Below are 25,191 nucleotides of genomic sequence, written 5' to 3' on the forward strand. Positions count from 1 at the left end.
ACCAGCCTGGTCAACATGTTGAAGCCATCTCACTAAAAATACAAAACTTAGCTGGGCGTGGTGACATGTACCTGTAATCCCAGCTACTCGGGAGGCTGAGGCAGGAGAATTGCTTGAACCTGGGAGGCAGAGGTTGCAGTGTGCTGAGATCACGCCATTGCACTGCAGCTTGGGTGACAATAGTGAAACTCTGTCTCAAAAACAAAAAACAAAAAACAAAAACTCCACCAGATGCTTGGGCCGGGTGCAGTGGCTCATGCCTGTAATGCCAGCACTTTGGGAGGCTGAGGTGGGCGGATCACCTTAGGTTCGAGACCAGCCTGGCTGACAAGGTGAAACCTCGTCTCTACTAAAAACAAAAGTTAGCTGGGTGTGGTGGCATGCACCTGTAATCCCAGCTACTCAGGAGGCTGAGGCAGGAGAATCGTTTGAACCCGGGAGGCGGAGGTTGCAGTGAGCTGAGATCTTGCGACTGCCCTCTAGCCTGGGCAACAGAGTGAGACTCCGTCTCAAAACAAACAAACAAAAAGTAAATAGCTGGCATTACAACCATTCTTCTTACCTTTTTGTAGGTTGCAGGTTTTATATTTGAGCTCTTCATAATATTTTTCTTAAGGATATATTAATATAATGTATATTTTCCTATTTTTTCCTGCTATGTAAACACTGCTGTTTGGTCAGATGAAGGAGGGAGCCCTGCCCTAGGACAGGGGAGGGGAGGAGGAAGGCGACCTCAACCCAGGACCCCTGTTCACCCTGGGATCAGGCCCTCACCCAGGTAGCTCCTCTGTTTGAAAGCTCTAAGCCCTTCCACTGTCCTCTTCAGGGCTACCCCGCCACACAGCCTCTCCTTGTCTTGTCTTCCCTTTGGCGGGGTCACACCCGCACCTGGGTCACTGCCCCCTTCCTCTGGTCGAGGGTTGGGGGGAGTGTCCCCTCCTCCCTCGGCCGGAGTCACAGTTCCACACGCAGGGGTCCTTCCTGCCCCTCTCACCTGGGGTCACAACCCCCCTCCCTCGGAGGAGGGAGGTCACCGGCCACAGGCGGGGGCCTCAGTTTCCCACGCTACAGGGCTCACACGTGTCTGGCCTGCGACGCGCTCTCCCTTCGCCGGGGTCCCAGTTTCCCGCCCAGGAAACCTCGGTCCCTCCTCCGAGGCCGCCGGGCCCTCCTCCAGAGTCCCGCCAGTCCCCCAGAGTCCAGGCCAGTCCCCGCCGTCACCCGGTGCGAGCCCGCGAGAGGCCTAGTGCAGCTGGCAGCCCCGCCCCGGCACCCGCCTGCTCTTCTCGCGGGTCCGGACCGCGAGCGCGGGGGCCGACGGGTCGCCGCTGCGCCGGGCCGGGATGGCGGCCACCGCGCTGCTGGAGGCCGGCCTGGCGCGGGTGCTCTTCTACCCGACGCTGCTCTACACCCTGTTCCGCGGGAAGGTGCCGGGTCGGGCGCACCGGGACTGGTACCACCGCATCGACCCCACCGTGCTGCTGGGCGCGCTGCCGTTGCGGAGCTTGACGCGCCAGGTGAGCCGGGCCGGGGAGCCCGGGCCCCTGCCCCGTCCCCGCCGCTCCGTCCCTGTCGGGCCGCTGGGGTCTCCACCGTCTTTGCTGAGCCACCTCTTTGCCTCGGCAGCTGGTACAGGACGAGAACGTGCGCGGGGTGATCACCATGAACGAGGAGTACGAGACGAGGTTCCTGTGCAACTCTTCACAGGTGAGGGACCGGGCCGAGGGGCAGGCTCGGGGGCCCGCTCCCCCTCGCCCACCGCCCTGAGCCTGGGACGGCTAGAGAAGTGTGGGGGAGGTCACCATGCACCGGAGCCAGGTGTCTCAAGCTGCTTTGCCTCCGGTCTGTGCCTCTAAATGGCACCTGGAGGTAGGCTAGAAGCTGTGAAAGGCGTTTATTTAAAAGTTCAAGTTGGGCCGGGCGCGGGGACTCACGCCTGTAATCCCAGCACTTTGGGAGGCGGGAGGAGGAGGCGGGCAGATCACTTGAGCCCAGGAGTTCCTGACCAGCCTGGGCAACATGGCGAGGCCCCCGTCCCTACAAAAATACAAAAAGTAGCCGGGAGTGGTGGCGTGCGCCTGTACTCCCAGCTACTTGGGAGGCTAAGGCAGGAGAATCACTTTAGCCCGGGAGGTGGAGGTTGCAGTGAGCCGACATCTCGCCATTGCATTCCAGCCCAGCCTTGGGCGACAGGAGTGAAACAATGTCTCAAAAAAAAAAAAAAAAAAAGTGGAAGTTGACAAAGCCTGATTTCTCCTTTGTGAACAAATGTAATGTATTCTTATTTCGGTAACCAAAATCAGAAACTAAAATTGAAAGGCAACTTTCCCATGCCTTCCTGATTTCATTCATTCTTTCTATACTTTGAGCTCTGAGTATGGGTCAGCATTCCCAGTGTTAGGGATTCCAGATGAAGGCCCTGCCAACTGTAAGACGAAAAGCACCCCCTTAACACTCTCCCCTCCCCAGATTTTTCATAAAACTATCCATTGAAAACTGTAGAGTTCATTTGGCTCTGATTTGGGGGAATTTTTAGTCATATATTAGAAATCATGGTGGAACTCCAAAGTTCTCTCATAACAAAGTTTAGGCCTAAAACATAACTTTCATTAAATGTGACTGGCCTGTTTGTGGAATCTTCCACAATGGTTATTAGAAGATGTTATCTACAATCTGAGCTATTTGATTTTTTTTTAATGTTGCCCTATCTTTATAGCGTTTGGCATCTAATAGCACTAAACAATTATCTTTCTCATTTGTTTTACTGATATAGCATGATGAAGATACTATTATTTCAACCTGAGGATTTTTTTGAAACCTTGAAAATATTTGTGACTTGGCCAGGCGTGGTGGCTCTCACACCTGTAATCCCAGCACTTTGGGAGGCTGAGGTGGGTGGATCACCTGAGGTCAGGAGTTTGAGATCAGCCTGGCCAAAATGGTGAAACCCCGTCTGTACTAAAATCACACAAAAAAATTAGCCGGGCGTGGTGGCAGGCGCCTGTAATCCTAGCTACTTGGGAGGCTGAGGCAGGAGAATCGCTTGAACCCGGGAGGCAGAAGTTGCAGTGGGCCGAGATTGCACCACTGCACGCCAGCCTGGGCGACAGAGTGAGTCTCCGTCTCAAAAAAAAAAAAGAATTACTGATCTTCATTTAGAACCATAAAGTCTCTGATACTCATTATTAAGAGGTTAATAACAAGAGTAGCTGGAGCATATCTGAAGTCTTAAAGCATAAAGTTTGCCCAGTTGCCAGAGACCTTATTTCTATTTCTTTTCTTTTTTTTTTTTTTTTTTTGAGATGGAGTCTCACTCCCTTGCCCAGGCTGGAGTGCAATGGTGCAATCTCAGCTCACTGCAACCTCTGCCTCCCAGTTCAAGTGATTCTCCTGCCTCAGCCTCCCAAGTAGCTGGAATTACAGGTGCCTGCCAGCATGCCTGGCTAATTTTTGTATTTTTTATGGAGATAGGGTTTTGCCATGCTGGCCAAAGTCGTCTCGAACTCCTGACCTCAGGTGATCTGCCCACCTTGGCCTCTCAAAATCTGGGATTACAGGCGTGAGCCACCACACCTGGCCACCTATTTCTTCTAAGTGATAACATTGCACTAATGAAGGTCAGTGCATTGTTTTAATTTTATTTTTGTTTTTGTTTTTGAGACGGAGTCTTGCTCTGTCGCCTAGGCTGGAAGTGCAGTGGCACGATCTCGGCTCACTGCAAGCTCCGCCTCCTGGGTTCATGCCATTCTCCTGCCTCAGCCTCCCAAGTAGCTGGGACTACAGGCGCCTGCCACCATGCCCGGCTAATTTTTTTGTATTTTTAGTAGAGACGGGGTTTCACCGTGTTAGCCAGGATGGTCTAAATCTCCTGACCTCGTGATCCGCCCGCCTTGGCCTCCCAAAGTGCTGGGATTACAGGCATGAGCCACCATGCCCGGCCCATTGTTTTAATTTTAAAATGATAACCCTATTTTCTACCATATGTTCCCTCAAAAAACAGTGGTAAAAAAGAGACTTATGGACAGAGAAATAGAAAGCCTTGGCAAAATATTGTACCCCAAATCTGCAGCTGAATCACTACACAGGTGCCAAAATTATGCAAAAAAATTACACTGGCTGGGCCTGGTGGCTCATGCCTGTAATCCCAGCATTTTGGGAGGCTGAGACAGGAGGATGGCTTGAGGCTAGGAGATTGAGACCAGCCTGGGCAACATAGCGAGACCCCCATCTGCACACACACAAAAATAACAAAATTAGCCAGGCACAGTGGCATGCAGCTGTAGTCACAGCTACTTGGGAGGCTGAGGTGGGAGGACTGCTTGAGCTTAGGAGTTTGAGGCTGCAAGGAGCCATGATTGCATACCACTGCTCTCTGACCTGGGTGACATAGCAAGATCGTGTCTCTAAAATAAAATATATATATATTTTTGAGATGTTGTTTTGCTCTTGTCTCCCAGGCTGGAGTACAATGGTGCGATCTCTGCTCACTGCAACCTCTCCCTCCAGGGTTAAACAATTCTCCTGCCTCAGCCTCCCTAGTAGCTGGGATCACAGGCATCCACCACCACGCATGGCTAATTTTTGTATTTTTAGTAGAGACAGGGTTTCCCCATGTTAGCCAGGCTGGTCTCAAACTCCTGACCTTAGGTGATCTGCCCGCCTTGGCCTTGCAAACTGTTGGGATTACAGGCGTGAGCCACCATGCCCGGCCAAAATAAAATGTTAAGACGTTTGCAGCTGAATTTTTTGCAGCTAAAATGTATATAGCTAATATCTTGCAGCTAAATATTCAAGTACCCAAAGGGTAGTTTAAGAACACTTTACCTGCTGGTGTGGTGGCTCACACCTGTAATCCCAGCACTTTGGGAGGCTGAGGCAGGCGGATGACCTGAGGTCAGGAGTTCGAGACCAGCCTGGCCAACATGATGAAACCCCGTCTCTACTAAAAATGCAAAAATTAGCCAGGCTTGGTGGCGCGTGCCTGTAGTCCCAGCTACTCGGGAGGCTGAGGCAGGAGAATCGCTTGAAACTGGGAGGTGGAGGTTGTGGTGAGCTGAGATCACGCCACTGTACTACAGCCTGGGCAACAGAGCGAGACTCTGTCTTTAAAAAAAAAAAAAAAAAAAAAAGGAACACTTTAAATCTTGGACATAATTCTAACTCAGCAGCATAGCTGTTGCTTGATGAAAAACCAACCATGTAGGCCAGCCATTTTAAAGACATTTCTGTCCTCACCTGGAATGGGAAAAAAAAGCATTTCTGTAAGAAGTTTCTATTTTAGAAAACAGGCAACAGTGTATTCCCATTGTAGTAAACCCTGAAACTTCCTTGTTGCTTTGCTGCTTCTTGGGAGCCCCTTATCATCCCACCCACATAGTTTTTTTTCATTCTCTTTTTCATACTGGTGGACCTGGTTCCAGGAGTGGAAGAGACTAGGAGTCGAGCAGCTGCGGCTCAGCACAGTAGACATGACTGGGATCCCCACCTTGGACAACCTCCAGAAGGGAGTCCAATTTGCTCTCAAGTACCAGTCGCTGGGCCAGTGTGTTTACGTGCATTGTAAGGCTGGGCGCTCCAGGAGTGCCACTATGGTGGCAGCATACCTGATTCAGGTACCAAAGTTCTTTCTGGGCTGGGCATCGTGGTACACACTTATGATCCCAGCACTTTGGGAGGCTTGAGATGGGAGGATGGCTTGAGCCCAGGAGTTTGAGACCAGCCTGGGCAACATGGCAAAACCGTCTCTACAAAAAATACAACAAGTTAGCTCAGTGTGGTGGTGTGCACCTGTAGTCCCAGCTACTTGGGAGGCTGAGATGGATCACCGGAGCCCAGTAGGTAGAGGCTGCAGTGAGCCGTGATTTGTGCCACTGCACTGCAGCATAGCCAACAGAGTGAAACTGTCTCAAAAAAAAAAAAAAAAAAAAAAAGTCTTTCTGGTCCCATTTATAGCAGATTTCCAGAACTTCAATAGCATGGTCTACTGGTGGGCCTTGTTGGAAGGAGCTGTGTGCTTGATTTCAGGCTGTTGGGAGGTGGTTTGGTATGATGGAAAGCACCTGAGCCTTGTGACAGGGTAACCTGGGGCTCTGCTGCCTGCCAGTGAGGATCAGCAAAAGTGACTTCTGCCTTATGCAACATGTTTTCTCAAACTAAATGTATTATGAAGTTTAAATAAGAAATTACATCAAGTGCTGGCCTATAGCGGGCACTCTAAAAACGGAGTTGCAAAAGCCATTCAACCCCAGCAAAAGGCTAGACACTTGTTCTAATACCATGTCAGGAAACAATATCATAGATAATAGTGCTGATCATTTTCAGCTTTATAGTACTCAAGTTTCTTCAAGTATTCCAGAGTAAAGTTCTGGATATTAGTTTCTGGAAACAGGCTCCAAACTGGATTCTGCCTATTAATGTGTCATAATTGGCAGGTGGGATGCTTTAAAAATATTTAGGAGAAACAAATACCCTGTAGTCCATCATCATTTTGTAACCTAAGTTACAAAATGTCTGGCTCCCACAGAGCATTTTCTAAGTCATGTGAATAGCTAAGTCTGGCCTTGTGTTACTGTGGACTAGTGTGTATATAGTTGAGTAATATTAAAATTTTGGTCATAAGGGCTCTGCTGGAAGCAGGGTCTCAGGAGGGTATTTTGCACCAAGTGAGAATTGAACTAGCAAGTTAGAAATCTGTATTTTCTTGGTTCTGTTGAGTTCTAAACCAATGAGTATCCTTAGGACATGTTAACCCTCCTATTTAAATTATGAGTTACTTGTTTTTCTAGCCATGGTGACAAGTTGCATAAAAACATCTATTGCATACTCGTTCCTAGAAATTCTTGTAACCAAAAGCCCAGCTCGGAGAGGACGTGGAGTAGGCTGAGGCAGTCTTGAACTTAGGATCTCAGCTTCCCATGTGCAACTTCCTTTTTCTAGGATTTGGCAGAGCAAGAATTGGGTAGAAAGACTGACTTTCCACCTGACCTGTTGCATAGTATTGTGAGACTGGCTGACTGCAGTGGTTACAGTACTCTCCCATTTATAATACAAGCAGCATGATTTTTAATGCCTGCAAAATAGAGTTTCCAAAGAAATGAAATCTCAGAGTCCTTTAGCACCTGCTCATGGGTCAAGGGCACCTTGACACCTGCTTCTTTCTTTCTCTGCTGATTTCCCAACCCTGTACTTCAGGTGCACAAATGGAGTCCAGAGGAGGCTGTAAGAGCCATCGCCAAGATCCGGTCATACATCCACATCAGGCCTGGCCAGCTGGATGTTCTTAAAGAGTTCCACAAGCAGATTACTGCACGGGCAACAAAGGATGGGACTTTTGTCATTTCAAAGACATGATGTATGGGGATTAGAAAGAACTCAAGACACTCCTGCTTGATACAGAACAAAAAGAGCTTAACAGGACCAACAGGGCTTAAGCCCAGACTTGACGTAACAGAAATGTGCCAATAGGTAATAGGTAATTTTTCTTTCTCTGACTTGTTTTGTTTTCTTGAAATAACACTGTTGTGTGGCTAGAAAGGAAAAGATTTAGTGTGGCTTGTATTCATGGGATACAGGACAGGGATGGGGCTATCATCTTTTCTTGAATAGGGCTAAAGAAGTATTTTAACAAAAATCTATTATGTACCTAATATTGTGCCTAATAATATTTAGCACCACAACTCAAAAAACATTTAGCACTTGAAAAAAGGAGACTCACCTCTGGCTCTTTGCCACTGTCAGAATCTGAATCTCACTGGCCCTGTGGAGTAGGGATCCTATCTGGAGAAGTGGGAGCATGGGCTGCAGTCAGGACTGCTGCAGACTGAGCCATGTGATGGTACGTAATGAGTTCCCCTGAGGGAATGAAACACCCTCACCCCTTCAAAGTCACCCCTTTGGAATTCAACACAGACACACATATCCCTTCAAAAACTTTTATTTGTATCAACAGTTCCTAGCTCTTGACTTAGCTTAGAGCTTTTAAAAGAGCAGACACCTTATATATTTGAGATTGAAAAAGTTTCTGCTATTAATCAGAAATAATCATTTCTATTTTCTGGCTTACCCCTTGGAATAAGCCAAAAATAAAACCAAAGTTACATTTCCTGACAGATGGATAAGAAAACAATAGAAGGAACATCCTGAATTCTAGAGTTGACTCTTGCTGGTGAAGTACACCTTCAGCTTAGTCCATTCTCCTAAGTAAAGCCTGAAGGAAAACTCTTAACACCTAATTCTTTGTGGAAAAATGATCAACTAGCCATTTCACAGGCTATAGAACAAAAGTACAATTGGGCATCTTTCCTTATGTCCTGGGATCAGGGGTGCTTACATTTAACATTGATCAGGTAAAGAGGAGAGGCTGTGCCTAAGGTCTGAGAAAAGGCTTGCTCTAAGCAAGCTGTGGTGAGGCACAGGATGACTAGGGAATGGCAGAGAACAGGCTGGCCTACTGTCAGTTCAAGCAACCAGCTGAGCAGCAGCAGTCTAAAAAGCCCCAAACAGAACACCTCCATGGATTCAGGGAAGGGCTGAGGCACTGCCTTTCTAGTATGTGCCAAAAAAAACATAACTCTGAATTGGGGCCCAGGGGACTTTGAGTTTGTATGGGGAGGGAAAAGGAGTGAGCAGTTCTCCTCCCCTCCCCACAGCCTTAGGCCAACACAAACTGCAAATTGGTAAGCAGCACCTTAATACCTCTTGTGACAGTTACGGCTGAAGTGGCAGGGTCAAGCTTGTAGGTGTTGGCATCCCCCTTTTTATATCGGTCCCGGAAGACATAGATGCTCCCGTTACAGCTGGCAATCTTCCAGAGGGATGGGGCAGAGCTCCAGGCCTCAGGAAGGCAAAGCCGGGTGAAGCTGTCTAGCAAGGGATTGTAGCACACCAGGGAGTCCCCTTCAGCCACGATGAACACCAGATCTTTATGCACAGCTGCGTGCATGCGGCCTGCAAAGGGCAGCACATAGGGCTTCACATGGCATTTGTCTGTCTCTGTGTCAAAGCACTGGATGAGTCGGGAAGGTTTGGTAAAGAAGTCCAGATCATTCTCCTCCCCCCCTAGTAAGTAGATGATCCCGTTGAGGTTGGCACCAGCAGCCCCTGACACAGCCACCTCTAGCTGAGTTGTCTCTGTCCACACATTATCACCTACGCGATAATAAATGACTGCGTTGGAGAGGGTATCTTGCAGTGTCTTGCCACCCAGTGAATATATGGCATCTTTCCCGGGCACAGACACCAGGGTGTGCTGGAGCCGGTCCCGAGGCAAAGGAGCACACCACTCCCAGTCAACGGTGGCATTGTTGCACTTCCACATGCGCCGTGGGATGGACCCTCCCACCACATACAAGTCTCCACCATGCTTGCAGGCCGCAGTGATCTGGTGGCACAAACTGTTTTGGCCACTTACACTGATGGAGTCATCTTCTGCACAGTGCAAGGACACAGCCAACGAGTGGGTACGAGATGACTCTTTCCCAATCAGGTAAATGTGCACATTCTCCCCAATTTCCTATTGGCAAAATTAAAATTATATGACAGCTGTTAAATTCTAGGCTAAGGCTCAGCTAAGACACATATCCTTAAGATCCTGGCCCTCACACTTGTTCCTAGCTTTATCATACTACTCTCTAATTACTGTATGGCATCCAACTCTCCTCTAGTCACTTTCTTTGAGGCAATTTATGCCGGGCGGAGAATCTGTTGTATTCATCCTTGTAGCTTTTAAAAAACTCTCATAAGCTAGTGCTTCAGACAAAGGGTGATTAAGATTGTTAACTTGATGACAGTAGTTCTCAAGGAACTTTGAAAGCTCATAGATTGGTGGTACTGGGGTTACAAAGACATCCTTCTCCCCAGCTCATATCAACTTCAAGCCAGAGATAACTTATTCAAAAATAAATAAATAAATACAAAAAATTAAAAAAACAAGAGATGGCCGGGCACAGTGGCTCACACCTGTCATCTCAGCACTTTGGGAGGCCGAGGTGGGCAGATCACCTAAGCTCAAGAGTTCGAGACCAGCCTGACCAATATGGTGAAACCCTGTCTCTACTAAAAATACAAAAATTAGCCGGGCGTGGTGGTATGCACCTGTAGTCCCAGCTACTCGGGAGGCTGAGACAGAAGAATTGCTTGAATTTGAGAGGCGGAGGTTGCAGTGAGCTGAGATCATGCCATTGCACTCCAGCCTGGGAGACGGAGTAAGACTCTGTCTCAAAAACAAACAAACAAAACAAAACAAAAAACAGAGACGACCATTCATAATCTGGCCATCAAAAAGAGGCCAGGTTAGGCCAGGCGCATTGGCTCATGCCTGTAATCCCAAGACTCTGGGAGGCCAAGGTGGGTGGATCACCTGAGGTCAGGAGTTCGAGACCAGTTTGGCCAACATGGTGAAACCCATCTCTACTAAAAATACAACAATTATCTGGGCGTGGTCGTGGGCGCCTGAAATCTCAGCTACTCGGGAGGCTGAGGCAGAAAAATCGCTTGAACCCAGGAGGTAGAGGTTGCAGTGAGCCGAGATCGCACCATCGCACTCTAGCCTGGGCAACAAGAGCGAAACTCCATCTCTCTCTCTCTAGCCTGGGCAACAAGAGCGAAACTCCCATCTCTCTCTCTCACACACAGACACACAAAGAGGCCAGGTTAGGCCAGGCACAGTGGCTCACACCTGTAATCCCAGCATTTTGGGAGGCAGAGGCAGGCAGACTATCTGAGATCAGGAGTTCCAGACCAGCCTGGCCAACATGGTGAAACCCCATCTCTACTAAAAATACAAAAATTAGGCGTGGTGGCAGCACCTGTAATCCCACCTACTTGGGAGGCTAAGGCAGGAAAATAGCCTGAAACTGGGAAGTGGAGGTTGCAGCGAGCTGAGATTGCACCACTGCATTCCAGCCTGGGCAACAAAGTGAGAATCCGTCTTAAAAAAAAAAAAAAAAAGGCCGGGCGCGGGGGCTCATGCCTGTAATCCCAGCACTTTGGGAGGCGGAGGCGGGCGGATCACGAGGTCAGGAGATCGAGAGCATCCTGGCTAACACGATGAAACCCTGTCTCTACTAAAAATACAAAAATTAGCCGGGCGTGGTGGTGGGCACCTGTAGTCCCAGCTACTAGGGAGGCTGAGGCAGGAGAATGGTGTGAACCCGGGAGGCGGAGCTTGCAGTGAGCCGAGATTGCGCCACTGCACTCCAGCCTGGACGACAGAGCAAGACTCCATCTCAAAAAAAAAAAAAAAGAGGCCAAATTAACTGATGGCAAGAATGCATGGAGAGTATGCAGTCTCAACAATTAAGAGATTTGCCTTACCTTCAAGCTTGTCCTGAGTGACTCTGCAAAAGCCTCTCTTTCCTCTTTATTAAAGTTGATCCAGGCTTCTATTGCCTCTGTTGGGTTCTGAGAACACGGAACTCCATCTGTGAGAGCCAGAGGAAAGGCATGGTCAATGACAATCCGAAAGAGAAATTCAGAGTAAGGGACTTTAAAGATGTGAACCACTTTATTAGACTACTGCTGGGCATGTGTATATGTGTACATGCATACATACACATATACATGAAATTAACCTAAAATTGCTTTTTTTTTTTTTTTGAGGCAGGGTCTCACCCTGTCGCTCAGGCAGAAGTGCAATGGCGCAATCACCATCACCATAGCCTCAACCTCCTGGGCTCAAGCAATCCTGTTTCAGCCTCCCAAGTAGCTGGGACTACAGGTGTGCACCACCACGCCTGGCTAATTTTCTTATTTTCTGTATAGACAAGGTCTCACTGTTGTCCAGGCTGGTCTCAAACTCCTGCCATCAAGGGATCCTCCCTCCTTGGCCTCCCAAAGTGCTGGGATTACAGGCATGAGCCACCATGCCTGGCGGGTCTTGCTTTTTTTTTTTTTTTTTTTTTTTTTTGAGATGGAGTCTTGCACTGTTGCCCAGGCTGGAGTGCAGTGGCGTGATCTCGGCTCACTGCAAGCTCCACCTCCCGGGTTCACGCCATTCTCCTGCCTCAGCCTCCCGAGTAGCTGGGTCTACAGGCGCCTGCCACCATGCCCAGGTAATTTTTTGTACTTTCACCATGTTAGCCAGGATGGCCTTGATCTGACCTCGTGATCTGCCCGCCTCGGCCTCCCAAAGTGCTGGGATTACAGGCGTGAGCCACTGCGCCTGGCCCGTACCTTGCTCTTTTTTAAAGATAGTCTCATGTGTTACATGAGCCCTCAAAAAGTTGGGTAAAGACTCATAACCGTTCCTCTCCATGGAAATCTTTAGTAAAAGGTAAAAGATTTATACAATCTGAAGAGAAACCAGAGTATGTGCCTTGCTTTTTTAAAATCAAAATGGATGACTCGATATTTTCCCATCTGCCATGGAAGCAACCTACTAAGCTACAGAGCTCACACCATTTTTTTTTTTTTTTTTGAGATGGAATCTTGCTCTGTCGCCCAGGCTGGAGTGCGGTGGCGTGATCTTGGCTCACTGCAACCTCTGCCTCCGGGTTCAAGTGATTCTCCTGCCTCAGCCTTCCCAAGTAGCTGAGACTACAGGTGCAAGCCACCATGCCCAGCTAATTTTTGTATTTTTTGTGGAGACGGGATTTCGCCATGTTGGCCAGGGTGGTCTTGAACTCCTGACCTCAGGTGATCCACCCACCTCGGCCTCCCAAAGTGTTGGGATTACAGGTGTGAGCCACCATGCCTGGCCAACCTCACACCTTAAGTATGGCTATATCTCACTTGCAAGGTTAGGATTGTTTCCTAACGTTGGCCCATCACTAAAAAAGTTTTTAGTCTTAGATATCTTGCCCCATCACCAATTTACATAGGTAATTAGACCCACTGGGACATACGAAGTACAGGATAAATTAGAGTATAATACAAATCACTCCTCACTACTCTGTGTGGTTAAATGTTGTGCTTTAATTTTCCTGACTTCTTCCTCTAACGCACTGTGTCTCTGACAGCAATTACACTGAATCTCACCTCAATCTTTCTCAGCAGGTTATCTCAGTAAGAATGCAGGAATAATAATGTAAACTAACACCAGGAAGCTTGAGGGTTCTTTTCTCCTAAACTAGAACATTCACTGAACATCATAGCCAAGTAACTGGGTATGGTGTGTCCCCTCCCTAAACTTACCCGAGATGATATCTGTGAGTAAGCGGTGGGGCAAGTGGAGAAATTCCTCTGTATTCTGCAGCTGGGCCAGGTGGGTCTTGGCACAGTGCTTGGCAGCCGTATAGAGCTCAGGATCACTGTGCCGATCTGCCAGCCACATCACCTGAAGGCAGTTTCCCACTTGCACTGTGCGGGCCAAAAACCGAGAGCATTCCTCAAAGAGAGATGTCAGCTGATACATGTCTGACACCTCATAAATTTCCTGCAACTCCTCAGCTCGAAGTTTCACAGTCCCATGGTAGATATAATCAACCAGGAGCTGGAAAACAGACTCGCTGACATCCTGCAGCACAATCACCCGGTTGTGGGCCTCCTTCAGGTTGGAAGTGAACATGGATCGGAAGAAGCAGCTCTGAGCTGAGAGGACCAGCCGATGGAGCTGAAACTCCCGGCCTTCCACCGAAATGGTGACATCAGCAAAGAGCTCCTCCTCTAGACACAGTTTCATGATGCCTTGAGCCACACGGCCTGAATGTGACCGATCTTTGAAAGTGTAGTTCACAAAGTAGTTCTCATCCATGGATGCTCCAGGCTCCTCTGGTGATTCCATGCTAGCCAACTTCTCTCTCTGCCAGCTGTCTGCAAAGCAACACCATCTTGAGTAACCTGAGGAATTCACAGCCATAGTCTGTGAATCCAACTGTCCAACTCAGGGAGGGAAAAGGAAGAAGTGAGAGCAAAGTGGGTCCAGATTGGCCTTAGTCCTGGCCCTGTCCATGATGTCCCTGACGCTATCCTTTAACCAAATCTGGGTTCGTTATCCCCAGTGGCGCCCCTCCGCTAATGATATAAATAAAAGTTCCAACTCTGGGTGTTTTCCTGAGAAAACACGGAATAATTCCTTTCCATAATGTTAACAAAAGACTTGGGATTTAGGTCAATATATGAAAGCAAAGGGCTGGGAGAGGCCTGTGATCGTAAAAGCCTTACTAACCAAATAACTGGGGCATAAAACTAGTGAAGCTCAGGGGCAGTAGAATCAGACAAAAAGGACCCCTGGCCCCGGCCTAGTGGCCAGGTCCTCTCCTTCCCAGCGCATGGAGTTAAGACGCTCCATATGAAGCCTAGCCTGGGATATCCGTGGGTCTTACATTTGCTCTCTTCTGAGCTGCTTCCCCCACACTTCCCCGCTCGCTCGAAAGACTCCCTATGGCTGCGTCCCAGAACTTGAGTCCATCCGCCCCCAGGCCGGGGCACTGGGAGGCCCATCACCCTGTGCAATGTCCCCGCTCCACCTTGAGTCGTCTTGGAAACGGTCGCCAGGGAAACCGTTCTTCCCGCTCAGGCCCGCCCGCCCTCGTCAAAAGCTTGGCTCAGAGAGCGGGGGAGGGGTGTGTAGCGTAGAACCCAAAACGCCCGCCCCCTCCCCTCCTCTCACCCGCCTGGTTCTTCAGCGTCCTCGCCTTCTCTCTAGGCTCTGCCACAAGGAGCTAGGACCACGCTCACCTCACGATTTCCCTACCTGCCTGTCTCGCTTTCTCACCTGCGTTCCCTCCTTTCATCCCGGAGCCCGGAACCTCCGCTTCCGGCTCCACGTCCGCCCGGAAGAAGATCTGCTGCACACTTCCGTTTCCGGTCCGTGCCCTTGGGGCTCCGTGTCCTGCTGTCTTTCCGTCCGCTGCCTAGTCTGCATCTGAGTAACATGGCGGCGGCGGCGGTAGCCAGGCTGTGGTGGCGCGGGATCTTGGGGGCCTCGGCGCTGACCAGGGGTGAGCACGGGCAGCCAGCTGAGACCGGGGTCAGGCGCAGCGGCGTGCCCAGTGCAGAGAGCTCCTCAGGGCTCATCCCGCGCGTCTGTGCCTTTTATCTCCCTGTGCAGGGACTGGGCGACCCTCCGTTCTGTTGCTGCCGGTGAGGCGGGAGAGCGCCGGGGCCGACACGCGCCGTGAGTATGTGCGGGCAGCGCTCTTCTCTGAACTATCGGCGGGGCCCCTTAGATGCCTGTCCTTGCCCTAGGATGCCCTTCCCTACGTCCTCCTGGCAAATCTTGGAGATCTGACTTGCAGTGGTCTTCACCCTGCATGCAGAATCGAGCCCTCCCTGTGCCCTTAGGCCTGTTATGGCCCTGATTGTTCCTTGTCCATTTCAATCATCCCCTTTTTGTCTGATTAAACTGTCAGCTCTTTGAAAGCAAGCAATATAACCTTTAGGCCTCAGAGCCCTGTAATAATAGTACCTAGCGTTAATTGAGTGCTTAATGTGTGCCTGGAACCTCGCTAAGCGTTTTAGTGAATGATCTTATTTCGTCCTCACAACAGCCTTATGGGGTAGATAGCATCTTACTCTTCTTACTATAGATCAGGAAACAGTCCAAAGAATTAAACTGCCCAGGGTCAAAGACCTAGTGAATGACAAAGTAGGCCTGCCTGCTGCCAGAGGCAGAAACACCTAACCATTATTCTGTAGCTTGTGATGTGTGATTGCTCAGTGGTTTAGGGTTGCATGAATGAGTATGTACATATTATGTTACAGTCAAGATACACGGACTGGGAGTTAGGAGACCTGGCATTTCTCCTTTCCTGGGTTTTCTCATTGACACACACACACACACACACACACACACACACACACACACACACACCTGGGCCTCAGTTTTCTCATTGACACACACACACACACACACTTTTAAGGAGAGAGAGAGTCTGTGAGGGATCTTCAAGCCCTGAAGTTCTTAGCTTGAGAACCTGGTATAAACTTGCGTGCTAAGGAGCTACAGAGAGGCAAAAGTTCAGTTCCCATCCTCAAACAGCTCTTAGTCTGACAGGAGAACTGAGACTACTGCTTTAGCAGAAATGCAGGCAATGTGAGGGAAGAACTGTGGAGTAATTTTGAGAAGAGGTGAACACCCCAGCTGCTATAGTAAGAGTCTTTCTGAGGACCGTGTAGTTAAGGTGGCACTTTCCCCAAGTTTTCATCACTGTATTCCCTAGAAGGGAAACCTTTCACATGCACCTTTCTCAAGGTGCTTCAGGGAGCCTTTCCTGGATTTGACATCCCTTACAAGCCTAAGAGACTGCATGCAGGGCTGGCTTTTGCCTTCTCCATTTCTTTTTTAAATATGCCTTTTCCTTCCAGCCACTGTCAGACCACGGAATGATGTGGCCCACAAGCAGCTCTCAGCTTTTGGAGAGTATGTGGCTGAAATCTTGCCCAAGTATGTCCAACAAGTTCAGGTAATACTTACTAATGTTATTTGGGTCTGGGTCAAGAAAGAACCATGTTCGCAGGGCATGTGGGAGTGGGCAGACTTGTTTCAAAGAAACTACAGATTCCTCCATCCCAAGCTTGGACTTTTCTCTCAGCATTAAACCAGGTGACTCCAGCTGAAGTTAGCTGTTCCCTCAGTAGCTCTTTGTTCCCTCTCCCCTCACTTTCATGTGTGCAGGTGTCCTGCTTCAATGAGTTAGAGGTCTGTATCCATCCTGATGGCGTCATCCCAGTGCTGACTTTCCTCAGGGATCACACCAATGCACAGTTCAAATCTCTGGTTGACTTGACAGCAGTGGACGTCCCAACTCGGCAAAACCGTTTTGAGGTCAGTTGGGAGATCTGAGAAGGTTTTGGGGGTAAGGATATTAATTTCAGTTTGTAACATACAATAGAACACAGCAGTTAAACTGGAACTTCAGAGTCAAGTAGATCTGAAGTTGGATCTTGGTTCTGCCACTAAATGGCTGTGGGACCTCAGATAACTCAAATATTTTGTTTAATTTTTTTTTTTTTTAGACGGAATCTTGCTCTGTCGCCAGGCTGGAGTGCAGTGGCATGATCTTGGCTCACTGCAACCTCCGTCTCCCAGGTTCAAGCGATTCCCCTGCCTCAGCCCCTTGAGTAGCTGGGACTACAGGTGCATGCCACCACGCCCGGCTAATTTTTTGTATTTTTTTAGTGAAGACTGGGTTTCACCATGTTGGCCAGGATGGTCTCAATTTCCTGACCTCGTGATCTGCCTGCCTTGGCCTCCCAAAGTGCTGGGATTACAGGCATGAGCCACCATGCCCGGCCCTTGTTTAATCTTTCTGAGCTTTCATTTTCTTACCGGGAAAATAAATATAAAGCTGTCCTTATCTTATAGAATGGTTATAAGGATCCAATGAGATAGTTCAAGTAAATTGCTTGCACACAGTGTTTTCAATACATTTAGCTATTAATATTTTACTGATTATCTACTGTTTGCCAGACTCTGGGATGGAGAGAGAAATAACATGAAGTATTTGTCCTCCAGGAGTCCCCTACACTCTAGTGAAGGAGAAAGACACCTAAACAGCTTACTGTAGTAACATATAATACAAAGGATATTAGAGGGATGCTTTAAGAAAGCAGGAGGGGCACTTGGCCCTGTCTGGGAGGCTTCTTTGAAAAGAGAGAATGTTTGTGCTGAATCTAAAATATGAGTAGGAGACCAGGTAGCCTTGTGAGATGGACCAGGGAAATATTCCTGACAAAGTGAATAGCATGAGCAAACACAGGCATGCTGACATGCTAAGCTACAGCTGTGGCCTGGGCCTTTGGAAGTAGTTGTAAGCATAGGAGAATCTTGAGGTTTTGAGGTTCAGAATAGAAGGCAGGGTCACAGGGCAGAACTCTCCCAATCAGGGACTCCCATCTCAGCCCTCCAGATCCTTCTGTTCTCCCTAGATTGTCTACAACCTGTTGTCTCTGCGCTTCAACTCACGGATCCGTGTGAAGACCTACACAGATGAGCTGACGCCCATTGAGTCTGCTGTCTCTGTGTTCAAGGCAGCCAACTGGTATGAAAGGGAGGTGAGTTACCGGATATGGTGGACCTGCCTCTGGGCCACAGTTGCAGAACTGGTTCAGACTACGGGATGCAGTGTAGCCCCTTCCCCCTGTTGTTAGTCTTGATGGATTGGCTGTTTGAGGTGGTCTCTTTCCTAGATCTGGGACATGTTTGGAGTCTTCTTTGCTAACCACCCTGATCTAAGAAGGATCCTGACAGATTATGGCTTCGAGGGACATCCTTTCCGGAAAGACTTTCCTCTATCTGGCTATGTTGAGGTAGGAGCCTTGGAACTGGGACAGCAGCCTCAGGGAGGGACTTGCAGAGAACCCAGGGGATCCCTGGGAATGGCAAGAAATACGGTCTGTGGATTGTGGTGGTTTAAGAGCATGGGCCCTGGATTCAGATCCTAGCTTCATTTTTGTAACCTGGGGCAAGTTACTTGGTTTGACTGTAACTCAGTTTTCTCATCTTAAAATGGCAATAATAATAGCACTTTAATAGATTTGTGGCTGGCATTAAATAATGTATGTGTAGGCTCACGCCTGTAATCCCAGCACTTTGGGAAGCCAAGACAGGAGGAGTGCTTGAGTCCAGGAGTTCGAGAACAGCCTAGGCAACATGGTGAAACCTCTTCTCTACAAAAAAATAGAAAAATTAACGGGGCATGGTGGTGCATTCCTGTGGTCCTGGCTGCTCAAGAGGCTGAGGTGGGAGGATCGCTTGAGCCTAGAAGGCGGAGGTTGCAGTGAGCCGAGATCACGCCACTGCTCTCCAGCCTGGGCAACAGAGTGAGACCCTGTCTCTAAATAAATAAATGATGTATGAAGCCTGCTGTATTGTAAAGGCTCAATTGATGCTGTGTGTGTGTGTGTGTGTCAGGGTCTCACTCTTGTCACCTAGGATGGAGTGCAGTGGTGCGATCATGGCTCACTGCAGTCTTGACCGCCCAGGCTCAAGTAATCCTCCCACCTCTCAGCCCTCCGAGTAGCTGGGACTACAGGCATGCACCAACATGCCCAGCAAATTTTTGTATTTTTTGTAGAGACGGGGTTTCTCCATGTTGCCCAAACTGGTCTCGAATTCCTGGGCTCAAGTCATCTGCCCGCCTCAGCTTCTCAAAAGTGCTGGGATTACAGGTGTGAGCCACCACACCTGGCCAGTGTTATCCATTATTGTAATGATCATTTTAATGATCAAGGCAGCCTTGACGACACAGTCTGTCCCTAAAACCTGAAAGTAGAGGATTATTTTACCCTGCCCTGACTCTCTGGGAAGGCAGTGACGGGGAAGACACCAGATGCTTAGCCCTCAAAAATTACCTCTGAGGTGGGACCAGTAACGTGAATAAAGAATTTCAGTGGTGCTGCAGGTTATTTGCAGGAAGATAGTGTGTAATATTATCACTCGTGAATTTTATAGCAAAGTAACTGTTTAGAAATGCAGAGATGTGGTGCTCCAGCCCTGCTCTTTTAGTTCCCAGTCACTCCTGCTGTGTTAGTGCTTTGCATGCTCCTATTTCCCTCTTGGGCTACTTCTGGGCAGGGCTATCTCCCTCGCTTCTCCCTTTCACCCCACTCCTGCTATCTGCCTCACCTGGTTTGCCTCTTCACTCTAGCACCTGATGATCCTTACCTTATCCATTTGATCCCCAAGTAACAAGAAAAGCTGTGTCAAATGTACTGCTTTAGATCTGGACTGTGAATATGCCAAGGGCACCGGGCCTGAGGTTGTGTATCTGCCAGTTTAGGTTTACTCTTTTCAGCCACCGACTACTCCCTAATCCTGGGCAAATGCTTACCATTACCTTGTAAGAGTGTGTGGGTGGGTGAGCAGTCAGTTCGGAGCTCCTGATGTGGGAGTGGTGAGCAGGGGAATCTGACTGGTGCTGGCAGGGCATGAGAGGTATCCTACATTTTGGAATCACACACTCTAGCTGGTTGGGATGTGATCTGACGGGTAACACAGGTATGGATGGAGACTTACTGACAGAGGCTGGGACAGGAGTCAGTAACCGAGAGGAATGGGCTGGGGAAGTCACCAATAGCCTTGTGAAAAGTAGGCTCCTGTGTAGCTATAATAAGGACTTCCTTAGTGCTCAAGCCTGCCTTTTGCTCCTGCAGTTACGTTATGATGATGAAGTGAAGCGGGTGGTGGCAGAGCCGGTGGAGTTGGCCCAAGAGTTCCGCAAATTTGACCTGAACAGCCCCTGGGAGGCTTTCCCAGTCTATCGCCAACCCCCGGAGAGTCTCAAGCTTGAAGCCGGAGACAAGAAGCCTGATGCCAAGTAGCTCCAGGGAACGCATGTGGATCCTAGACAGCGCCTTATCTATGATTGAGTGTCCGTGTAAATAAATTCCTACTTAGACTTACCACTTTGTGTGTGCTTGTAATGTGGAGAAGTGATGCTTTGGGGGGGACACAGGCAGGCAGGGGTGTTTCCCTGCTCTCTTAGAGAGGCACTACTAAACCAGGGAGTCTTTGATGGGTTTTTTTTTTTTTTTTTGAGACAGTGTTTCGCTCTTGTTGCCGAGGCTGGAGTACAATGGCGTGATCTCGGCTCACCACAACCTCCGCCTCCTGGGTTCAAGTAATTCTCTTGCCTCAGCCTCCCGAGTAGCTGGGATTACAGGTGTGTGCCACCACACCTGGCTAATTTTGTATTTTTAGTAAAGACGGGGTTTCTCCATATTGGTCAGGCTGTTCTTGAACTCCTGACCTCAGGTGATCTGTCTGCTTCGGCCTCCCAAAGTGCTGGAATTATAGGCGTGAGCCACTGTGACCAGCTCTTTTATGTTTTTTTGAGATGGAGTCTCGCTCTGTCACCCAGGCTGGAGTGCAGTGGTGCTGTCGCAGCTCGCTGCAACCTCCACCTCCCAGGCCCAAGCGGTTCTCCCCCCTCAGCCTCCCAAGAAGCTGGGATTACAGATGCACGCCACCACGCCCAGCTAGTTTTTATAGTTTTTGTAGAGATGGGATTTCACCATGTTGCCCAGGCTGGTCTCGAACTCCTGGCCTCAAATGATCCACACTGGCCTCCCAAAGTGCTGGGATTATAGGCGTGAGCCACCACACTCAGCCGGAGGTCTATTTTAATGGGACTAAAGAGTGTAGTTGCAGACGTGGTGGCCTGCAGGCATGGATGTATTTCTGAGAGGGATTCTGGAGCTGTAACTGAAAGTTCTCACAGTCCACAGGGTTCAGGATGGGTGTGGCATGGTAGCCAATCACTCTTGGGCTACAGGAATCTCCCTGGTTTCTGGCCTGAGCTGAGAATGGTGGGGTTCTTTTTTTCTTCTTCTTTTTTTTTTTTTTTTGAGATGGAGTTTTGCTATTGTTGCACAGGCTGGAGTGCAATGGCATGATCTTGGTTCACTGTGACCGCCGCCTCCCGGGTTCAAGCAACTCTGCCTCAGCCTCCCGAGTAGCTGGGATTACAGGCTTGCGCCACCACGCCCGGCCAATTTTGTATTTTTAGTAGAGATGGGGTTTCTCCATGTTGGTCAGGCTGGTCTCAAACTCCCGACCTCAGGTGATCTGCCCGCCTCGGCCTCCCAGAGTGCTGGGATTACAGGCGTGAGCCACCGCGCCAGGCTGGTGGGGGTTTTTTGAGACAGGGTCTTGGTCTGTCACCTAGGCTAGAGTGAGTACAGCAGTGTGATCGTGGTTCACTGCAGTCTAGACTGCCTGGGCTCAGGTGATCCTCCCACCTCAGCCTCCTGAGTAGCTAGGACCACAGGTGTGTACCACCATACCCAGCTAATTTATTTGTAGAGATGAGGGCTCACCATGTTGCCCAGGCTGGTCTTGAACTCCTGGGCTCAAGCCATCCTCCTGTCTTGCCCTCCTAAAGTGCTGGGATTACAGGCATGAGCCACCGTGCCCGCTCTGAATTAAGAATGTTGCTAGGAAACAAGAGGTCCCAGGGCTGGGGCAAAAACCACTCAGGAGCTGCAGATTTGTCTGTCTGCCAGGGGACAATACGCCCTAGCCCAGCTGATCTGTCTGTCCAGCCTGCGGCAGAGTGCCTGAGAGGGGAGTGCTTGGCTCTGCCTGTCTGTGGGGCCGCCCAGCCAGCCCACCATGCAGTTGGAAGACTTTGCAGCTGATGCTTTTGGCAGCTGAGGGGCTCCTTGGAGGCTGGGCTGGGCCAGACTGGGTGTCGGGGCTGGCCTCAGTCGCAGGATATTTTGAGGGCGCAGACAGTAAGATGGTCTTACTGCCTGAGCTCTTTCCTACCCTTTGGGAGGGCCAAGCTACAGCTATTTGCTACCAAACACCTTTTTCCTATTAACTAAGCATACCGCCCAGCTGGGCAGGAACAGGCTGAGGGCCTGACAAGCAGGGAGCCAGGCTCCTGCCAACAACCAAAGATTCCCCATTTCTAAAGGATGGAAAGAGCCCCTGGGAGGTGACCGAGGCCACAGCCAGCCCCTCCCTGTTCAGCACTGAAGAATGACACGCATTACAGAGCTCTGGAGCAGCCCGCAGTGGAAAGTTGGAGCTGAGGTGTGTGGCAGGCAGATGAGGGAGCAGAGAACTGCTGAACAGAGTGAGACTCAGAGGACGTGGTTGAGCATGGCTGCGACCCTGCAGTTCCTGGTTTGCCTGGTGGTAGCCATTTGTCTCCTCTCTGGTGTGACTACAACCCAGCCCCATGCAGGTACCAGGCTTCAGGGTGGGTGGAGAGGAGCCAAGGCTGCTGGCTGACAGCAGTTAACAGTTGGCTCTATTTGAGGCTAGTCGGGCATAGAAGCGTGGGCATGGTGGGTACCAGGCTGATGTGTGCTGTGGTGGGTGACAGTGTGGGCCCCACCCCCAGAACTGGAAAGGTACAGGTGACACCTAGGGAGATAGCCCTAGGTGCTCTTAATGCTGGCCCTGGGCTCATTCCCACTGATGCCCAAAGCAGGGTCTCTTGACCTGCCTGGGCTTGGAACAAACATTGCAAGGGTGAGGCAACACCCCAAGGTGTGGGCCGGACGGAGCTGCCACAGACATCCTCCCCTGCTCTGTCCTCCCTGCCTCACATCCTCCCCTGCCCCGTCCTCCCTGCCTCACATCCTCCCCTGCTCTGTCCTCCCTGCCCTGTCTTCCTCCTCCCTCCCTTACTGCTGAGGAGGAGCAGGGAGAGTAGGCTCTTTCCAAAGAGGTCTTTGTCCTTGGGAGAGTCACTGGCACTGTTTTAGGTGACTTTATCCTCAGATGACTATAGGGAGGGGAGGAGGGTGGGGAAGGGTCTTGTGACCCGTTGGCCTGGAGCTCTTTAACAAGGGCATTGTGCAATTTAAAGGAGGTGTCCTGGGCATTTGCCAACATGGTAACTGGGCTTGGAATGATGCTTTTGAGATCAGAGGACCTATGCCTGGGAGGGTGAATGTCAATGTGCATGTGTGTGCGTGAGAGGGAGGGGAAAGGAGGGCATGGGATGGCATTCCTGCCCTTTTGTAGAATGATGAAGCACTCGGGACCTCTACCAGGCAGCAGAGGGGCACTTCTGGGAGGCTGGGGTGTTCATGGTGTAGCATGGCAGGGGCCTGACTCCTCTCTGCTGCCCCAGGGCAGCCCATGGACAGCACCAGCGTGGGAGGTGGCCTGCAGGAGCCAGAGGCCCCGGAAGTGATGTTTGAGGTCTTTCCTCCCAGCCTGGGACATGGGGGTGGGCACGTCCAGAGGTCCCTAAGCTCAGGGTTGGGAAGGGGGATGTCTCAGGGTGGACCTGCTAGGGTTGGGTGGGGCAAGCCAGCATGCGTCCTGCTGCCTGCTTCTGCCCCTTCCCCCAGCCCACTCTTGCTCCCTGCCCTGCTCCCCAGGCCACAGCCCACCCCTTACATGGCTCCCCTTGCAGCTGCTCTGGGCTGGGCTGGAGCTGGATGTCATGGGGCAGCTGCACATCCAGGATGAGGAACTAGCGTCCACACACCCAGGCCGCCGACTCAGACTCCTCCTGCAGCACCACGTGCCCAGTGACTTGGAGGGCACTGAGCAGTGGCTGCAGCAGCTCCAGGACCTGCGGAAGGGGCCTCCTCTTAGCACTTGGGACTTTGAACATCTGCTCCTCACAGGCCTGTCCTGCGTCTACCGGCTCCACGCAGCTAGTGAGGCTGAGGAACGGGGCCGCTGGGCCCAGGTCTTCGCTCTCCTGGCACAGGAAACACTCTGGGACCTGTGCAAAGGTTTCTGCCCCCAGGACCGGCCCCCTTCCCTGGGGTCCTGGGCCTCCATCCTTGACCCCTTCCCCTGACCCTCCTCTTTTGTTCTTTCACCTGCCATTACCCCCTCCCATCTCCTCCTCAACCCCCCAGGCAGACCCATCTTGCGCAGGGGCTTCTGTCTGGCATCTGATTCTTTTCACCGTGTTCAGATCTCTGGGCTTGGCTTGCACCCTGGACACCCCCTCTCTGCTTACCCCGACCAGATCTTGTTTCCTAGATCTTGAGAGGCTAAGAACCCAGGCTCTGGGTCGCAAGGAGTGCGCAAGGAGTGGGCACAGAGCTAAGGGCACGACTTGCAGGCAGTGTGTGTGTGAGTGTGTGTGTGTGTGTGTGTGTGTGTGTGTGTGTGTGGAGATCAGGGGTCAGGGTTGAGAAGTGTGTTCAAGAGATGCTGAAGGGAAGCTGCCCCAAGTAAGGCCTGGTCAGACCTTCCAACTCCTACCCTGGCAGTCTGTGACAGGTCCTGTGGAATTCACAGGAATCCTCTAGGTGCTGAGCATCCCCTTTTAGGCACAACCAAGGATTTGGGGTCTCTGAGCCTCCAAGTTCCCATCTGGGTTGGGAGAATCGACTTTTTGAGTTCTGTCAGTTGGAAGAGTGGAGGGAAGCAGGGGGAGGGAGGAACATTATCTCTTTTGGGGTAGGGAGGCAATATCTCAACAAGCGTCGGGTGAATACCTCAGAGGGGGGAGTAAGGCTGGGAGACCAAGGAGAGACAAGCGGAGGTGGGCTGGAGCAGGTGTGGCCCTGATTCTGTGTTGCTCTTCTCATAAAATGTTCTGTTTCGGCCTCCTGGAGCCTGTGTCATTCTATGTCGGAATAAGCGTCTAACCCCTGCTCTGGGCAAATCACTCTCCCCATCCCGGGAAGGCAAGAGTCAGGGCAACCAGGTATCAACTCCTCATCTCATTCCCACGCCCTGCTGGAAGAAGGAATGCACTGTTTCCTTGAATCCCATGCACCCTGTGGGGTAATGGGGTGCTGTTCCTTGTCACAGAAAGGCATCAGCCGGGGGCTAAGGCTGAGGTCGTAGGTCAATGATGAGTCAGAGGGCTAGACGAGGTA

The 25,191-nt window shown here is 50.4% G+C and overlaps 5 protein-coding genes and 1 pseudogene across 28 annotated transcripts in view, besides 12 other annotated features; 3 read left to right on the plus strand and 3 right to left on the minus strand.

Annotated features, from left to right (window-relative positions):
• Positions 1-1,260, minus strand: part of CELF1 (CUGBP Elav-like family member 1) — a 99,603-nt gene extending 98,343 nt beyond the window's left edge. For all 9 annotated transcript variants that reach the window (NM_001376443.1, NM_001376422.1, NM_001376419.1 and 6 more), the window contains exon 1: positions 995-1,260. The gene's annotated coding sequence lies outside the window, so the exon portion shown is untranslated. The remainder of the gene's footprint in view (positions 1-994) is intronic.
• Positions 831-1,331: an enhancer, noted in NCBI's record as "H3K27ac hESC enhancer chr11:47586662-47587162 (GRCh37/hg19 assembly coordinates)". NCBI's record gives its function as "activates a minimal SCP1, AML or CMV promoter by ChIP-STARR-seq in naive H9 embryonic stem cells {active_cell/tissue: H9 hESC(naive)}" and the evidence as "EXISTENCE:reporter gene assay evidence [ECO:0000049][PMID:30033119]".
• Positions 831-1,832: a biological region, named in NCBI's record as "H3K27ac hESC enhancers GRCh37_chr11:47586662-47587162 and GRCh37_chr11:47587163-47587663".
• Positions 1,142-1,621: a silencer, noted in NCBI's record as "silent region_3334". NCBI's record gives its function as "represses an Ori minimal core promoter by ATAC-STARR-seq in GM12878 lymphoblastoid cells {active_cell/tissue: GM12878}" and the evidence as "EXISTENCE:reporter gene assay evidence [ECO:0000049][PMID:35858748]".
• On the plus strand, positions 1,320-9,182 carry PTPMT1 (protein tyrosine phosphatase mitochondrial 1). 2 transcript variants are annotated; one of them, NM_175732.3, is made up of 4 exons: positions 1,320-1,517; positions 1,627-1,707; positions 5,421-5,612; positions 7,192-9,182. In NM_175732.3, the coding sequence occupies exons 1-4, from the start codon at positions 1,344-1,346 to the stop codon at positions 7,348-7,350; spliced, it is 606 nt and encodes a 201-aa protein (NP_783859.1). In that variant the 5' UTR covers positions 1,320-1,343; the 3' UTR covers positions 7,351-9,182. The 2 variants fall into 2 exon arrangements, with proteins under 2 accessions (NP_783859.1, NP_001137456.1); NM_001143984.2 differs by lacking the exon at positions 5,421-5,612 and having other exon boundaries at positions 1,320-1,707.
• Positions 1,332-1,832: an enhancer, noted in NCBI's record as "H3K27ac hESC enhancer chr11:47587163-47587663 (GRCh37/hg19 assembly coordinates)". NCBI's record gives its function as "activates a minimal SCP1, AML or CMV promoter by ChIP-STARR-seq in naive H9 embryonic stem cells {active_cell/tissue: H9 hESC(naive)}" and the evidence as "EXISTENCE:reporter gene assay evidence [ECO:0000049][PMID:30033119]".
• Positions 1,752-1,831: a silencer, noted in NCBI's record as "silent region_3335". NCBI's record gives its function as "represses an Ori minimal core promoter by ATAC-STARR-seq in GM12878 lymphoblastoid cells {active_cell/tissue: GM12878}" and the evidence as "EXISTENCE:reporter gene assay evidence [ECO:0000049][PMID:35858748]".
• Positions 7,918-14,691, minus strand: KBTBD4 (kelch repeat and BTB domain containing 4). 12 transcript variants are annotated; one of them, NM_001318721.2, is made up of 4 exons: positions 14,654-14,691; positions 13,132-13,745; positions 11,314-11,420; positions 7,918-9,511 (listed from the first exon to the last, which is right to left on the minus strand). In NM_001318721.2, exons 2-4 carry the CDS (start codon positions 13,718-13,720, stop codon positions 8,651-8,653), a joined length of 1,557 nt encoding a protein of 518 aa, NP_001305650.1. In that variant the 5' UTR covers positions 13,721-13,745; positions 14,654-14,691; the 3' UTR covers positions 7,918-8,650. The 12 variants fall into 12 exon arrangements, with proteins under 12 accessions (NP_001305650.1, NP_060565.4, NP_001305648.1 ...); NM_018095.6 differs by having other exon boundaries at positions 13,132-13,749; NM_001318719.2 differs by having other exon boundaries at positions 13,132-13,776.
• Positions 11,679-11,859: a silencer, noted in NCBI's record as "fragment chr11:47597510-47597690 (GRCh37/hg19 assembly coordinates)". NCBI's record gives its function as "represses an EF-1alpha promoter that drives an FKBP-Casp9 reporter gene in an ReSE screen in phorbol 12-myristate 13-acetate-treated (for megakaryocytic differentiation) K562 erythroleukemia cells {active_cell/tissue: K562(+PMA)}" and the evidence as "EXISTENCE:reporter gene assay evidence [ECO:0000049][PMID:32094911]".
• Positions 12,192-12,309, minus strand: RNU5E-10P (RNA, U5E small nuclear 10, pseudogene; annotated as a pseudogene).
• Positions 14,250-14,909: an enhancer, noted in NCBI's record as "NANOG-H3K27ac-H3K4me1 hESC enhancer chr11:47600081-47600740 (GRCh37/hg19 assembly coordinates)". NCBI's record gives its function as "activates a minimal SCP1, AML or CMV promoter by ChIP-STARR-seq in primed H9 embryonic stem cells {active_cell/tissue: H9 hESC(primed)}" and the evidence as "EXISTENCE:reporter gene assay evidence [ECO:0000049][PMID:30033119]".
• Positions 14,602-14,841: an enhancer, noted in NCBI's record as "active region_4700". NCBI's record gives its function as "activates an Ori minimal core promoter by ATAC-STARR-seq in GM12878 lymphoblastoid cells {active_cell/tissue: GM12878}" and the evidence as "EXISTENCE:reporter gene assay evidence [ECO:0000049][PMID:35858748]".
• On the plus strand, positions 14,795-20,283 carry NDUFS3 (NADH:ubiquinone oxidoreductase core subunit S3). The gene is made up of 7 exons (NM_004551.3): positions 14,795-14,879; positions 14,990-15,055; positions 16,246-16,343; positions 16,556-16,705; positions 17,809-17,934; positions 18,070-18,189; positions 20,035-20,283. Exons 1-7 carry the CDS (start codon positions 14,813-14,815, stop codon positions 20,200-20,202), a joined length of 795 nt encoding a protein of 264 aa, NP_004542.1. The 5' UTR covers positions 14,795-14,812; the 3' UTR covers positions 20,203-20,283.
• Positions 14,910-15,568: an enhancer, noted in NCBI's record as "NANOG-H3K27ac-H3K4me1 hESC enhancer chr11:47600741-47601399 (GRCh37/hg19 assembly coordinates)". NCBI's record gives its function as "activates a minimal SCP1, AML or CMV promoter by ChIP-STARR-seq in primed H9 embryonic stem cells {active_cell/tissue: H9 hESC(primed)}" and the evidence as "EXISTENCE:reporter gene assay evidence [ECO:0000049][PMID:30033119]".
• Positions 16,310-16,527: a silencer, noted in NCBI's record as "fragment chr11:47602141-47602358 (GRCh37/hg19 assembly coordinates)". NCBI's record gives its function as "represses an EF-1alpha promoter that drives an FKBP-Casp9 reporter gene in an ReSE screen in HepG2 liver carcinoma cells {active_cell/tissue: HepG2}" and the evidence as "EXISTENCE:reporter gene assay evidence [ECO:0000049][PMID:32094911]".
• Positions 22,372-24,915, plus strand: FAM180B (family with sequence similarity 180 member B). Of its 4 annotated transcripts, none has more exons than NM_001367968.1 (3): positions 22,372-22,574; positions 23,472-23,542; positions 23,725-24,915. In NM_001367968.1, the coding sequence occupies exon 3, from the start codon at positions 23,790-23,792 to the stop codon at positions 24,153-24,155; it is 366 nt and encodes a 121-aa protein (NP_001354897.1). In that variant the 5' UTR covers positions 22,372-22,574; positions 23,472-23,542; positions 23,725-23,789; the 3' UTR covers positions 24,156-24,915. The 4 variants fall into 4 exon arrangements, with proteins under 4 accessions (NP_001354897.1, NP_001354895.1, NP_001354896.1 ...); NM_001164379.3 differs by having other exon boundaries at positions 22,399-22,574; positions 23,760-24,915; NM_001367966.1 differs by lacking the exon at positions 23,472-23,542.
• Positions 23,104-23,304: a silencer, noted in NCBI's record as "peak1274 fragment used in MPRA reporter construct". NCBI's record gives its function as "represses an SCP1 promoter by STARR-seq MPRAs in K562 erythroleukemia cells {active_cell/tissue: K562}" and the evidence as "EXISTENCE:reporter gene assay evidence [ECO:0000049][PMID:32103011]".
• Positions 24,929-25,129: a silencer, noted in NCBI's record as "peak1275 fragment used in MPRA reporter construct". NCBI's record gives its function as "represses an SCP1 promoter by STARR-seq MPRAs in K562 erythroleukemia cells {active_cell/tissue: K562}" and the evidence as "EXISTENCE:reporter gene assay evidence [ECO:0000049][PMID:32103011]".

This window comes from Homo sapiens, chromosome 11 (assembly GCF_000001405.40).
Source record: "Homo sapiens chromosome 11, GRCh38.p14 Primary Assembly".
Taxonomy (NCBI): Eukaryota; Metazoa; Chordata; class Mammalia; order Primates; family Hominidae; genus Homo; species Homo sapiens.

Excerpts from the sequence above, each read along its gene's own strand:
- FAM180B (NM_001164379.3), top strand. The coding sequence starts at position 22,490 with ATGGCTGCGACCCTGCAGTTCCTGGTTTGCCTGGTGGTAGCCATTTGT. Across the intron at positions 22,575-23,471 it reads TACAACCCAGCCCCATGCAG|GGCAGCCCATGGACAGCACC; the intron begins GTACCAGGCTTC and ends CTGCTGCCCCAG. Across the intron at positions 23,543-23,759 it reads CCCCGGAAGTGATGTTTGAG|CTGCTCTGGGCTGGGCTGGA; the intron begins GTCTTTCCTCCC and ends CTCCCCTTGCAG.
- KBTBD4 (NM_001318716.2), bottom strand. The coding sequence starts at position 14,379 with ATGGGCCTCCCAGTGCCCCGGCCTGGGGGCGGATGGACTCAAGTTCTG. Across the intron at positions 11,421-13,131 it reads ACTCACAGATATCATCTCGG|ATGGAGTTCCGTGTTCTCAG; the intron begins GTAAGTTTAGGG and ends TGGCTCTCACAG. Across the intron at positions 9,512-11,313 it reads CACTCAGGACAAGCTTGAAG|GAAATTGGGGAGAATGTGCA; the intron begins GTAAGGCAAATC and ends TTTTGCCAATAG.
- PTPMT1 (NM_175732.3), top strand. The coding sequence starts at position 1,344 with ATGGCGGCCACCGCGCTGCTGGAGGCCGGCCTGGCGCGGGTGCTCTTC. Across the intron at positions 1,518-1,626 it reads TGCGGAGCTTGACGCGCCAG|CTGGTACAGGACGAGAACGT; the intron begins GTGAGCCGGGCC and ends TTGCCTCGGCAG. Across the intron at positions 5,613-7,191 it reads TGGCAGCATACCTGATTCAG|GTGCACAAATGGAGTCCAGA; the intron begins GTACCAAAGTTC and ends CCTGTACTTCAG.
- NDUFS3 (NM_004551.3), top strand. The coding sequence starts at position 14,813 with ATGGCGGCGGCGGCGGTAGCCAGGCTGTGGTGGCGCGGGATCTTGGGG. Across the intron at positions 16,344-16,555 it reads AGTATGTCCAACAAGTTCAG|GTGTCCTGCTTCAATGAGTT; the intron begins GTAATACTTACT and ends TCATGTGTGCAG. Across the intron at positions 16,706-17,808 it reads CTCGGCAAAACCGTTTTGAG|ATTGTCTACAACCTGTTGTC; the intron begins GTCAGTTGGGAG and ends TGTTCTCCCTAG.